This window comes from Homo sapiens, chromosome 11 (assembly GCF_000001405.40).
Source record: "Homo sapiens chromosome 11, GRCh38.p14 Primary Assembly".
Classification (NCBI taxonomy): domain Eukaryota; kingdom Metazoa; phylum Chordata; class Mammalia; order Primates; family Hominidae; genus Homo; species Homo sapiens.
In genome coordinates this window covers 71,981,978-71,994,179 of record NC_000011.10, presented here as the reverse complement: position 1 = coordinate 71,994,179, position 12,202 = coordinate 71,981,978, and the positions used below count along the sequence as shown (strand labels likewise).

At 42.6% G+C, this 12,202-nt stretch overlaps 1 protein-coding gene across 8 annotated transcripts in view, besides 2 other annotated features; it reads right to left on the bottom strand.

Moving 5' to 3' along the window:
• RNF121 (ring finger protein 121) overlaps positions 1 to 12,202 on the bottom strand; it is a 68,552-nt gene that overhangs the window by 3,418 nt on the left and 52,932 nt on the right. For 5 of the 8 annotated variants that reach the window (NR_024148.2, NR_024147.2, NM_018320.5 and 2 more), the window contains 3 exons: positions 11,265 to 11,419; positions 7,069 to 7,176; positions 3,463 to 3,583 (listed from right to left, as the gene is read on the bottom strand). Coding sequence is in view for 6 of the 8 variants with exons in the window: in NM_018320.5 (NP_060790.2) it covers positions 3,463 to 3,583; positions 7,069 to 7,176; positions 11,265 to 11,419 (384 nt within the window). In the remaining 2 variants the exon portion in view is untranslated. The remainder of the gene's footprint in view (positions 1 to 3,462; positions 3,584 to 7,068; positions 7,177 to 11,264; positions 11,420 to 12,202) is intronic. The other 3 variants (XM_006718629.2, XM_047427233.1, XM_006718632.2) reach the window with 2 other exon arrangements.
• Positions 2,384 to 2,443: an enhancer, noted in NCBI's record as "active region_5175". NCBI's record gives its function as "activates an Ori minimal core promoter by ATAC-STARR-seq in GM12878 lymphoblastoid cells {active_cell/tissue: GM12878}" and the evidence as "EXISTENCE:reporter gene assay evidence [ECO:0000049][PMID:35858748]".
• Positions 2,624 to 2,673: an enhancer, noted in NCBI's record as "active region_5174". NCBI's record gives its function as "activates an Ori minimal core promoter by ATAC-STARR-seq in GM12878 lymphoblastoid cells {active_cell/tissue: GM12878}" and the evidence as "EXISTENCE:reporter gene assay evidence [ECO:0000049][PMID:35858748]".

The following is a 12,202-nucleotide window of genomic DNA, read 5'->3' as shown; positions in this document are numbered from 1 at the left end:
CCATTAATTTCACTTCAAGGAATTTAAAGAAATAAGAGGAGGCTGGGCGCGGTGGCTGACGCCTGTAACCCCAGCACTTTGGGAGGCCAAGGAGGGCGGATCACGAGGTCAGGAGATCGAGAGCATCCTAACTAACACAGTGAAACCCCGTCTCTACTAAAAATACAAAAAATTAGCCAGGCATGGTGGGGGGCGCCTGTAGTCCCAGCTACTCAGGAGGCTGAGGCAGGAGAATGGCGTGAACCCGGGAGGCAGAGCTTGCAGTGAGCCGAGATCGCACCACTGCACTCCAGCCTGGGCAACAGACCGAGACTCCATCTCAAAAAAAAAAAAAAAAAGAGGAAGTGTCAAAGAAGCTTCATGAATACAGATATTCACTTAAGCATTATCATAATTAAGAAAGCAAAGAGTTTGGCATGTCCTCAAAAAGTTAAACATAAAATTACCAAATGACCAAGCAATTCCATTCTCGGTATAAACCCAAAAGATATGAAACTAGGGACTAAACACACTTAAACGCCAGTGCTCACAGCGTTACTCACAGTAGCCAAAAAGTGGAAACAACTCAAGTGCCTATCCACAGATGAATGAATAAACCAAATGCGGTGTCACACACAATGGAATACTATTCAGCCATATAAAGGAATGATACATTCTATACATGGATGAACTCTGAAAACACTACGCTAAGTGAAAAAAGCCAAAGGGACAAATATTGTATGATTCCATTTACATGAAATATCTACAATAGGCATGTTCACAGAGATGGAAAGTATATTAGAGGTAAACCAGGGCTGTGGGAAGGGGTAATGAGTTACTGCTTAATGGGCAGAGTTTCTGTTTGGGATGAAGAAAAATTTTGGAATTAGACAGTGAAAATGTTGCAGAACACTGCAAATGTAATTAATGCATGAATTGTATACTTCAAAATGGTCAAAATGGTGACATGGTCTAGAAATCTCTTCTGGGGAGTAAACTGGTTAAAGGAAGATCCAATGTCTACACAAATAGGTAAGAGGGAAATGAAGGTAAAGCACAAGACAGTTGTTCAAAAAGGAACCTAATAAACTGTCAATAAAGTGATCCAATGTACTGTTTTCAATTTGATCCAGTAGAGAAAAAATTAGAATATTCCCATGATACTGAGGGACAAAGTCCCTGGCCTTAAACGGTACTAGATTAAAGTTACCCAAGGTGATGGAAATATTCCTTCTTGGGGTGGGGTCTTGGGGGATGACACTGAGACAGGGAGCACTTCTGTGTTGTTTAAATAATTACAAAGAGAACATACTACTTTTATAAACAGCAAAACAATAAAGATATATTTCCATTCTGAAAAAAAAAATAGAAATATTTACTTGCGTTTCTCAGATTGGCTGTTAATTTACCCATATTTAAGCATCTCTCCGTGATGTCCACCTGCTGCTCTTGCAGCATTTCCTATCTCAGTGAAAGGTACTACCATCCAAGCAGTTGCCGAATCAGAAATCTCAGCTTTGAAACCTATATTTCCTTTGTATTTTTCCCTTCAGTCTTCAGAACCAAACTATATCTAAGTCCAAAATACTTCTCAAATACAGTATGTCCTCACTTCACTGACAGTTTCTTGGAAACTGTGACTTTAAATGAAACGACATATAACAAAACCAATTTTACCACAGGCTAATTGATAGAAACAAGAGTTCAGTTCCTGTGTCATATTTCTGTCACAAAGACATCACTAAACCTCTATTTAAGAGACACCAAATTGTCTCTTAAGTAAAGACTCAAAACACTTTTAATATTAAATGTTGAAATGAAATGTGTAGCTTTACACATACAGTTAAAGATTAACAAAGCAAGTATGAAAGCTTCCCCAATTTTTGGTAAAGCAGTAAGTGACAGTGGCTGTTGTTGTAGCGGCTGTGGGTTAAATCAAGGAATAAGAGTTCACAAAGTAAAAATTGTAAGGAGCAACTCCTACCACTGTGCAGTTCAAAAACAATTACCAATATGGACTAAGCACTTTTGTGCCCCATCATTTATTGTTGTGCCTTTGCATGATTATTATACATTTTGTGAATTTTTACTTATTTAGAGACAACGTCTTGCTCTGTTGCCCAGGCTGGAGTTTGGTGGCATGAACAAGCTCACTGCAAGGCTCAAGTGACTTCCCACCTTGGTCTCCAAAGTAGCTGGGACTACAGGCATGTGCCACCACGCCCGGCTAGGTTTTTTTTTTTTTTGTCTCATTTTTTTGTAGAGATGGGGTCTCACTATGGTGCTCAGGCTGGTCTTGAACTCCTGGGCTCAAGCAATCTGCCTGCCTCAGCCTCCCAAAGTGAGCCACTGTGCCCGGCCCCTCCCAGGATTTTTAGCATAAAAATCAAAATCTTTAATTTGGCCCACAGGCTTTTTTCTAGTCTAGTCACTACTTCTCCAGGCACTTCTTGGCCATACAACCGCAATGGTCTTAGTTCCTCAAAAACACCCACACTTTCTCCCGTGACAGGACTCTTATGAATGCTCTTTCCTCTGCCTGGTTCTCACTTCATCCACTTAACTGCTATTCATTGTTCAAGTCAGCTCCATAGTCACTTCTTCAAGGAAGCCATCTTTGAGCCCCAAGACTAGGTCAAATGACACTACTACATGTGTTTACAGCATCATGAACCTTTCCTACATAATGCTTATTAAAGTTGTAATTTTATTTTTATCTGTGTTTGTTACTGTAATAGCCATCTCTCCCACCTAAGAGTAAAGTTTATCTGGGCAAAAACCATGTTTATTTTTGTACACTTTTGTAATTCTGGCATATAGCTATGTGTCTAGACACATAGCAGGCATTAAAAAGTATCTACTGAATGAATGTTAACTTCCTGCTGGATAAAGTGGCTCTTTCCTATAATGGCCCTAAAGAGAAAAATTATAGGGTACATCTGAGATCTGGCTAATTTTTTTTTTAATAATTTCAACTTTTATTTTAGATTCAGAGGGTACATGTGCAGGTTTGTTACATGGGCATACTGCGTGATACTGAGGTCTGGGGTGCGAATGATCCTGTTGCCCATGTAATGAGCACAGTTACCTAACAGATAGTTTTTCAACCGTTGTCCCCACTCCCTCCTCCTCTTGTAGTCCCCAGTGCCTACTGTTGCCATCTTTATGTCCATGAATATCCAATGTTTAGTTCCCACTTATAAGTAAGAACATGCAGTATTTGGTTTTCTGTTCCTGCATTAACTGGCTTATGATAAAGGCCTCCAGCTGGCATGTTGCTGCAACGCACATGGTTTTATCTTTTTTTATGGCTGTGTTGCTTTCCAAACTTTAAGGAAGGAATGTCCATGCATATGCACATCTTGAAGGATTTTATGTGGCTTATCTCACCCTAGTGCCTTTCTCTTCCATTAAACAAGTGACATCAACTTGAGCAATTTGGAGGTGTCAAGAAGCAGTATTTAAGAACCCGGATGAACTTACCCCTATGGTAGATGCCATGTAGTCTGCACACATTTCTGCAAAGTCCCGTTCCAGAACTCCATAGTAGAGGCCATAGAAGAGAAGGGAGATGCCAAAGTCCATGGCATCTTCTGGTTTGATCCTGCAAGGGAAGCATTAGAGCTAGAAAGACCCACCCTGAGACATATCTTCTATGGATTACTACTCTGGGACACACAAGGCAGGGCCCAAAGCGAGAAGGCCCAAAGGCTAGAGCAAGTGCGGGCAAACTATGACCAAATCCAGTCTGCTGTCTATTTTTATATGGCCCATGAACACCTCTTGAGGAGGCTAGCTAGCACTGTAGGCTGTGAAGACCAAGCTACAGTATCCCCTCCTACCCCTTTTCCTCACTCTGCTCTTAGTCCTTGCCTCCCCTAACTGGTGACAATGACTTGCAGCTACCCAGGACCTATGCTCATCGGGACCTACATAGTGGGGACTCCACTGTTGGTAACTTCTGGACACTAAGTGAGCTGCCTTGCTGAGCTGTCTCTCTTCCAGCTAGCCACTCAAGTTGAAACAGCTGAGCCATCCATAAGGAGGAAAGGGCATGCCAGAATCTGGGTGTCACTGGTGCAGAGACTGAAAATTACTCCGGTGGCCACATGCCCCTCTTTCTGAGATTGTCTCAGCTTATGACAACAGAGCACAAAGCATGCCCACTACCTGAGACCTGGCCCCTTCCCCAGGCAAAGAGGGTGGGACAGGGTAGGAGTTTTTTCTCTTGTTATATAAGTACCTACATGATATCCTAGATTTGGCCTATTGTCCCATAAGACCTAAAATATTTACTATTTGGACCTTTACAGAAACAGCTTGTCAAACACAGGTTTAAGAAAAAAAGATAAAATTAGTAAATATTTATTAATATATAGCAGTTACTATAAAATTATAAACTACAAATATAAATAATCTGTATCATATCATCAAAGTTAAATTTTGGTCCAAGTCTATTTAACAAGAAGGATAAAGATCTTGCCTATAACATCAGAAGGTTTGTTTTAATAATTCCAAGGACCGATAATTTGCAACCTTGAGTCTATAAATCTTTGTTATAGAAAATTATCTGTTAAAATATTTGTACAAAGAACCGTATGTATGTGCTTAGTTATAAATTATATTTATATACAAAGCTGCATTTGCTTATGAACCCTGAATATTTAACTCACTAGAAATCATTGATCTTACACCACTTAATTTGATCAGTAGCACAAAAATGATCAAGATTCTCAATTCTGTTTTCCTCATTGTAGAGTTCAGGCAAGTAAAAAGAAACTGTAATTATAGAAGAATTATCTTTAAAACTTAATGCAGAGGCCAGGCGTGGTGGCTCACACCTGTAATCCTAACACTTATGGGAGGCCAAGGCAGGTGGATCACCTGAGGTCAGGAGTTCGAAACCAGCCTCGCCAGCATGGTGAAACCCCATCCTTACTAAAAATATAAAAATTAGCCGGGTGTGGTGGCTCATGCCTGTAGTCCCAGCTATTCAGGAGGCTGAGGCAGGAGAATCATTTGACCCCACTACTCGGGAGGTGGAGGTTGCAGTGAGCCACTGCACTCTAGCCTAGGCGACAAAGCAAGACTCCATCTCAAAACAAACAAACAAACAAACAAACAAACAAAAAACCATAATGCAGAATCCCATAATGCAGAATCTTGATTTTTATTTTATTTTTTAACCATACAGGTTAGAAAGTTACCAGGAGATATCTGTTTTCTTTGACAAGATGTGTTTGACTCTACAGTGATGAATTCCTCTAAACCCTTCAGGAGCCTGTTTATTCCTTCAGCCTGTACTACCCCTAGAAGAAAGAATTTCATGAGTGCACTCTCACTATATAAAATAGGATTTATTTATTTTTATTTTTTTCGAGATGGGGGTCTCCCTTTGTCACCTGAGCTGGAGTGCAGTGGCACAATCATAGCTCACTGCAGCCTTGAACTTCTGGGCTCAAGCAATTCTCCCACCTCAGCCTCCTGAGTAGCTGGGGATACAGGTGCACACTGCTACACCCAGCTAATTTTCTTTCTTTCTTTCTTTTTTTTTTTTTTTAAGAGTTGAGAGTCTCACTATGTTGCCCAGCTTGGTCTTGAACTCCTGGCCTCAAGCAGTCCTCCTGCCTCAGCCTTCCAAATAGCTGGGATTACAAGTGAGAGCCACCACACCTGGCCAGGATTTATTTTTACTTGTCCTAAAATAAACTCCTTTCAGAGACTCCTGCCTACAATATAACTAGGCTCAGGGAAGAGGCCAGTGATCATCCCATTCATTATCTTAAATTTGAATCCTAGATCTCTAGCTTCAGTGCACTGTCGTAGGCTTAGGGCTCCTCTTGATCCACAGCCCACAGCCACCAGTATTTCATCCAGGAAAGCATTATTTCCACCCTCATCTGCCTCATTGACTCACTGCATGCTCCAGTCTCTGAGCTCAGGATTTCTTGGCATCTGACTCAATTCGGGGTGGGAGGACCTGTAAGCTAATAAAGATCTTTTGGAAGGCTTATGACAACTGAAGCAACAGCCAAAATTCCATCCCTAGGAATGCACCCTTAGGAAGCAACAGAGCAGCGTTATCTGGGATAATACTAAATTGAAAACAACCTAAGTGCCCAACAATGAAGCAGGACTTAACATCCACAGGTTAACTTTCCAGAACTGTTTCCTTAGAAATCTTGTCGAATGTCAGCTATATTACAGGCAACACTGCTTATGACCTGTGATTAGTACAACACATCTGGACTGCGACATTCTTGAAACTGGATGTGTTCCTGGGGGAATGGGGCTCCTAGGCCAGGTGGCTTCCACACCCATCTGTGTCATCTCATTCCCTCACACCTAAGCTCTGAGTCTACTGTGAAGACTTGCAGACACCACTCTGCTCTATTATTTATTTTGTATTCTTCTAAGTCAATTTGTTGCTAGCTGTAGCCAACCACGGTCATGTAGGTAGACGGTCTAGCCCAAGAGTCAGCAAACTTTTCCTATAAAGGGCCAGATGGTAAATATTTTAGGTTTTGTAGCCCATATGGTCTTTATCACAACTATTCAACTCTGCTGTTTTAGTGGAAAAACAGCCACAGGCAATATATAAATGAATGGGCATGACTATGTTCCAGTAAAACTTCATTTTATAATAACAGGTTGTGGGCTGATTTGGCACAGAGGGCACAGTTTGCCAACCCCTGGCCTAGTTGAACGTAAGGCCATTCATGCAGAGTGGATGCTGCAAATGAACAGTACACACTGACGAGAAAAACAGCTCTGTTAAGGTGATAGAATTATGGATAGCAGGTTATGATAATTATTATGCTTACTTTGGTTACTAGACTTTTCCACTAAAATATAAAGCCTTGGAAAATATGATTTAGGACTCTGACTTTGTATATATTCAGACATTCCTTGCTTTCTGCCAGAACAAATCATGGAGAGCCTGTCTTCTCCCATCCCCCCACAGCACCCAAGTCTCCTATCCTGGATATTACGTCCCTCCTGTTAATAACCACGACTTGCAACAAGAGGTACATCTCAACAGTCACTCCTCCCCAAACTCCAGCAAAAACAAAAACAAAGGGTACTCACTTGAATAATAAGTTAAGACCAAAGAGGGTAAACATGACAGCCATGTAGCCAACAATGCCAGTGGCATAGCTGATTTTATAGATTAGCAGGAACCACTTATAAACCAACCTGGGGAAAGGAGAGAAGGTTAGTGCAGCTGACACAGAGATTCTGGCCTTAATGGTCCTGATCACCAGAATCCTTTATTCTCACATCAATGGGGACACCAGGGTCTTTGCTCAGGACTTACTGAGCAACTTCAGTTACTATCCAAAGCTGCTCACTCCCTTAACTGCAGAAATGCCTCCATATACTCAAGAACTAGGGCTTTGTATTTTTTTTCTTTTTTTTTTTTTTTTTTTTGAGATGAGAGTCTCGCTCTGTCACCCAAGCTGGAGTGCAGTGGCACAATCTCAGCTCACTGCAACCTCCACCTCCTGAGTTCAAGCGATTCTTCTGCCTCAGCCTCCTGAGTAGCTGGGACCACAGGTGCCCACCACCACACCCGGCTAATTTTTATATTTTTTTTAGTAGAGACGGGGTTTCACCATATTGGCCAGGCTGGTCTCGAATTCCTGACCACATGATCCACTCGCCTCAGCCTCCCAAAGTGTTTGGATTATAGGCGTGAGCCACCACACCCAGCTATGCTTTGTATTTTCATGGTTTCAGACCAAGGAAAAGATTCCTAAAAAGGCAGTTTCTGCCTCAAAGAAGGAGCACAGCTGACCTTAGACAGCTATGTCACCTCAAATGAGGAAGTAAAAAGTATTAAACACAACTATGCTCAGAAGATTAACAGGCAGGGAAGGCTAGTTGTTCAGAAACAGAATTCAAGAGATGAATCAGAGGTAGAATGAGCTACAGGTTGTTTGTACCTGGGCCCGGTTAGTCTGAATACAGCTTTGCTCCTATCCACAGGCCAAAAATGAAAGAAATGATGTGTAATGAATTTGCTTCTGAAATGAATTTTCTTCTGAGGGAGAAGGGAGAGAGGCACTTAAGAAGTACCTTTGAGTTGGATGAAAGTGTGTGGTGGTGGTGAAGTAGAATGGGGTTGTTCATGCTCCTGAAGGAGGAGTAGTGTGCCCCAGGAGCCAATGAAGACAGTGTACAACCTAATTGGTGGATCCCAGCTACTAGACTCAGCAAGAAAGATGGTTCCCTGAAGGAACCAGGGCCTTTTTTTTTGTTTTTTTTTGGCTAGAGATGGGGTCTTGCAATGTTGCCCAGACTGGTCTAGAACTCCTAGGCTCAAGGGATCCTCCCACCTCAGCCTCCCAAAGTGCTGGGATTACAGGCATAAGCCACTGGTGCTTGGCCAAACCAGAGCCTTTTAAATGCTACAAGAGTAGGTCCCTGTCATCAGGAGCCACTATTCTATCTGTGATGGGAGCTAATGAACAATTTAGTAATCTGTCTGAATAACCAGCACAAGCCTGTGTGGTTCCTGAGAGCTGACTAGGTTACTACCAACCCTGCTGAACCCTAGGGAGGAAAGTCAAGGTCCTTCCCTGCCCATGCCTCCTTGCTGTGGCCAGGCAAGCAGTGATGGTTTCTCAGGCTAGGGAAAGGTCCCAAATATCTTCCTTCTAGTGTTGTCTTAAAGAACACACACAGCTCTATTCTCCAGGGATTGCACTGATCACAAAAGAGAGAGACACGGTGAAAAGGATGTGAAATTTTAGGTCAAAAAACTCAATATGGATTAAGTGATGTTTTAGTAGCTGGATAACCTCAGATAAGTCAAATCACCTCTTTGAGACAAGAGAGGTGATTTTCTTTGTAAAACAGGAAAACCCTGCTACCTTTTTTACTGGGTTGTACAGAGCCCATTTCCTGGTATATAATACATGTTCATGAAATGCTACATGTATAAATAAGGATGTTCACAAAAGTGCTTTGAGGGCAGGCACAATGGCTCACACCTGGAATCCCAACACTTTGGGAGGCTGAAGTGGGAGGATTCTTTGAGCTCAGGAGTTCGAGACCAGCCTAGGAAACTCAGTAAGACCTTGTCTCTACTAAAAATAAAAATTAAAAAATAGCCAGACAAGGTGGAGCATGCCTGTAGTCCCAGCTACTACAGAGACTGAGATGGGAAAATTGGTTGAGCCTAGGAGGATGAGGCTGCAGTGAGTTGTGATCATGGCACTGCACTCTAGCCTGGGCGACAGAGTGCGACCTCATCTCTATTTTTAAAAAGTGCTTTGAAATTGTAAAGCACTATCAAATGTTAGTTACAGGGCTGGGCGTGGTGGCTCACACTTGTAATTCCAGCACTTTGGGAGCCCGAGGCGGGCAGATCACTTGAGGTCAGCCTGGCCAACATGGTGAAACCCTGTCTCTACTAAAAATAGACAAAAAAAAAAAAAAAAAAAAAAAAATTAGCCGGGTGTGGCGGCACACACCTGTAGTCCCAGCTACTTGGGAGGCTAAGCCAGGAGAATCGCCTAAGCCTGGGAGGCAGAGGTTGCAGTGAACTGCACTCCAGCCTGGGTGACAGAGTGAGACCCTGTCTCTAAATAAATAAATAAATAGCTAGTAGTTACTGGCCAGGCACGGTGGCTCATGCCTGTAATCCCAGCACTTTGGGAGGTTGAGGCAGGCAGATCATGAGGTCAGGAGATCGAGACATCCTGGCTAACACGGGGAAACCCTGTCTCTACTAAAAAAGTACAAAAAATTAGCCAGGTGTGGTGGCGGGTGCCTGTAGTCCCAGCTACTTGGGAGGCTGAGGCAGGAAAATGGTGTGAACCCAGGAGGCGGAGCTTGCACGAGTGAGCCGAGATCGTGCCACTGCACTCCAGCCTGGGCGACAGAGCGAGACTCCATCTCAAAAAAAAAGCTAGTAGTTACTATTATAAAAATCCTCTGTATTACAGACATATTTTCAATTATTTTAGCCAGAAGTTGGCACTGTTTGTGGTGTCCTTGGTGACTCTTACATTGTTCTATTGCACTTTTTCTTCATATCATCTTATCACCCTATGTGAGGTAGCAATTATTGTCCCATTTTTAGGGATGAAGACTTCAAGGCTCAGAAAGGTAAGGTCATACAGTGAACAAGTGGCAGGGCTAGGGGTCCCAATCCACATTCATCTGGCTCCACATCCTGTATCTTCCACAGTGGCCTTTAAAGTAAACTACCAAAGCCAGAGAGGAACTTATGGATCACCTATTTTACCTTATACAATGAAACTCCAGAAGGCCAGAGAAAGGCTTGCAGGAAAGTAGAACATAAGAAGAATAGGAAGAAGAGCAATCTACAATTTGAAAGACTTTGGATCAGGTGGTCACAGCTTTGAGGCTGGCCAGTCAAGCTCTCTTGGACCTACACAAACCTCTGTCATAGCACTTACCAACTGCACTGCAACAGGAGCTTTCTTGTCCATCTCCTCCATTAAACAGAGTACTCCTTGAGGGCAGGGACCATGTCTTATCCAGCTCTGTATCCCCAGCACTCAGCACAGGGCCTGGCACACAGTAGGTGCTTATTTGAATGAATGAGAAAATCTCTTTTTCTGTTGAGTGCAGATATTAAATTACCTCACAAGCTGGTGGGGAGGATCAAATGAGAAACGAATTTGAATAAAATAAAAAGAATTATACAGGCAGTGGCTGCTTTGTGACTCAAGAAGGAAGTATTGTTTATTGGAAAATTATAAATTTGCTGAGATTCATTCATTCAACAAAAATTCAGAGCAGGCTACTATGTGCCAGGCCCCATGGCAGGGCCTGAATATACAGTGACAAACAAAATGGATGTGGTTCCTGATCCCAGAGTTAGAGTTTAGTGAGGGAGATAGATACTCAAAACGGTATTTAGTTATAAATTGTGGTAAGTTATATGAAGGAAAACTACTGTGCAATGACAGAATATAATGGAAAATCTAATTTAGAGATCAGAGAAGGGTTCATAGAAGAAAACATTTAAAATGAGACCACAATGATCACCACAATTTGCTTATTTTTGTTTGCCTTTAATATAAAAATACCTTGAAACCATAAAGTAAGCTATACAGAAATATTTGAGGTTTTTAATCGATAAATAGGGGAGGGGTTCTACCAATCAGCTTGTTTTAGAGAGGCCCCATGCCAAATAATTTTGGCAGACAAAACCAGGAATTTTTTCAGTCTAAACCTATGCTCCTCCCATGCATTCCAACCCATTAGCTTCGGAAAACCTGGGCTCTTCCCACTACTTAAACTCTCACCTTGGGGTTGTCTGTACTAGAGGTTTTCGGGTGGCTCGGAAGGTAACAAAGGCTGTGACAGCAGAGAACAAGATCCAGATCACTAGGAACCTCCACCAGTGCAGCTTCACTGTGAAATAGAGGGGAACAACCCACATCTGAAAGAGGGTCACCATCTGAAACACAAACACAAGCACTTCAGCTCTGGCCAGCTCCCTCTGCAGCTCTGTCCACAGTCCCAAATGCAGCTTGTTTTCTATTTTAGCTTGATCCTCTCCTGTATTTACAACTTTGGATAAAGTTAACTCCACTAGTGATCCAAGTCAGAGACTTAGGACCATATTTGACTCCTCCTCCCTTTCATCCCTCACTCAACTATCTCTTGGATATATTCTTTCCTTTCCATTTGAGCTCTTGCTACCACTTGGCTGGCTGACTGCAATGAGCTCTTTCTTAGTCTCCCTGCATTCAGTGTCCATCCTTTTGAGGAGTGCCAGAATGGTATCTCGAACACGAAATCTTCACCATGTCATTTCTCTGCTTAAAACCCTTAAACAGTCAAAGGATAGGATCCAACATTCCTTTTTTTTTTTTTTTTTTTGAGATGGAGTCTTGCTCTGTTGCCCAGGTTGGAGTGTAACGGTGTGATCCTGGCTCACTGTAGCCTCTGCCTCCCAGGTTTAAGCGATTCTCTTGCCTCAGCCTCCCAAGTAGCTGGGATTACAGGCGCGTGCCACCACGTGTGGCTAATTTTTGTGTTTTTAGTAGAGAGGATCCAACATTCTTAGCTAGGCTGTCAAATCCCCCATGGTATGGCCCCGACCTACTATTTCGAGGGCCATCTACCACTCCCCAGGCCTTTAAGTCAGGTTGTCCCCATCAGGTTGTCCTTCCCACCTGCCTGCCTTTCTGCCTGACAATATCACATCCAAGACACACGAAGCCTTCCGTCTAGTCTC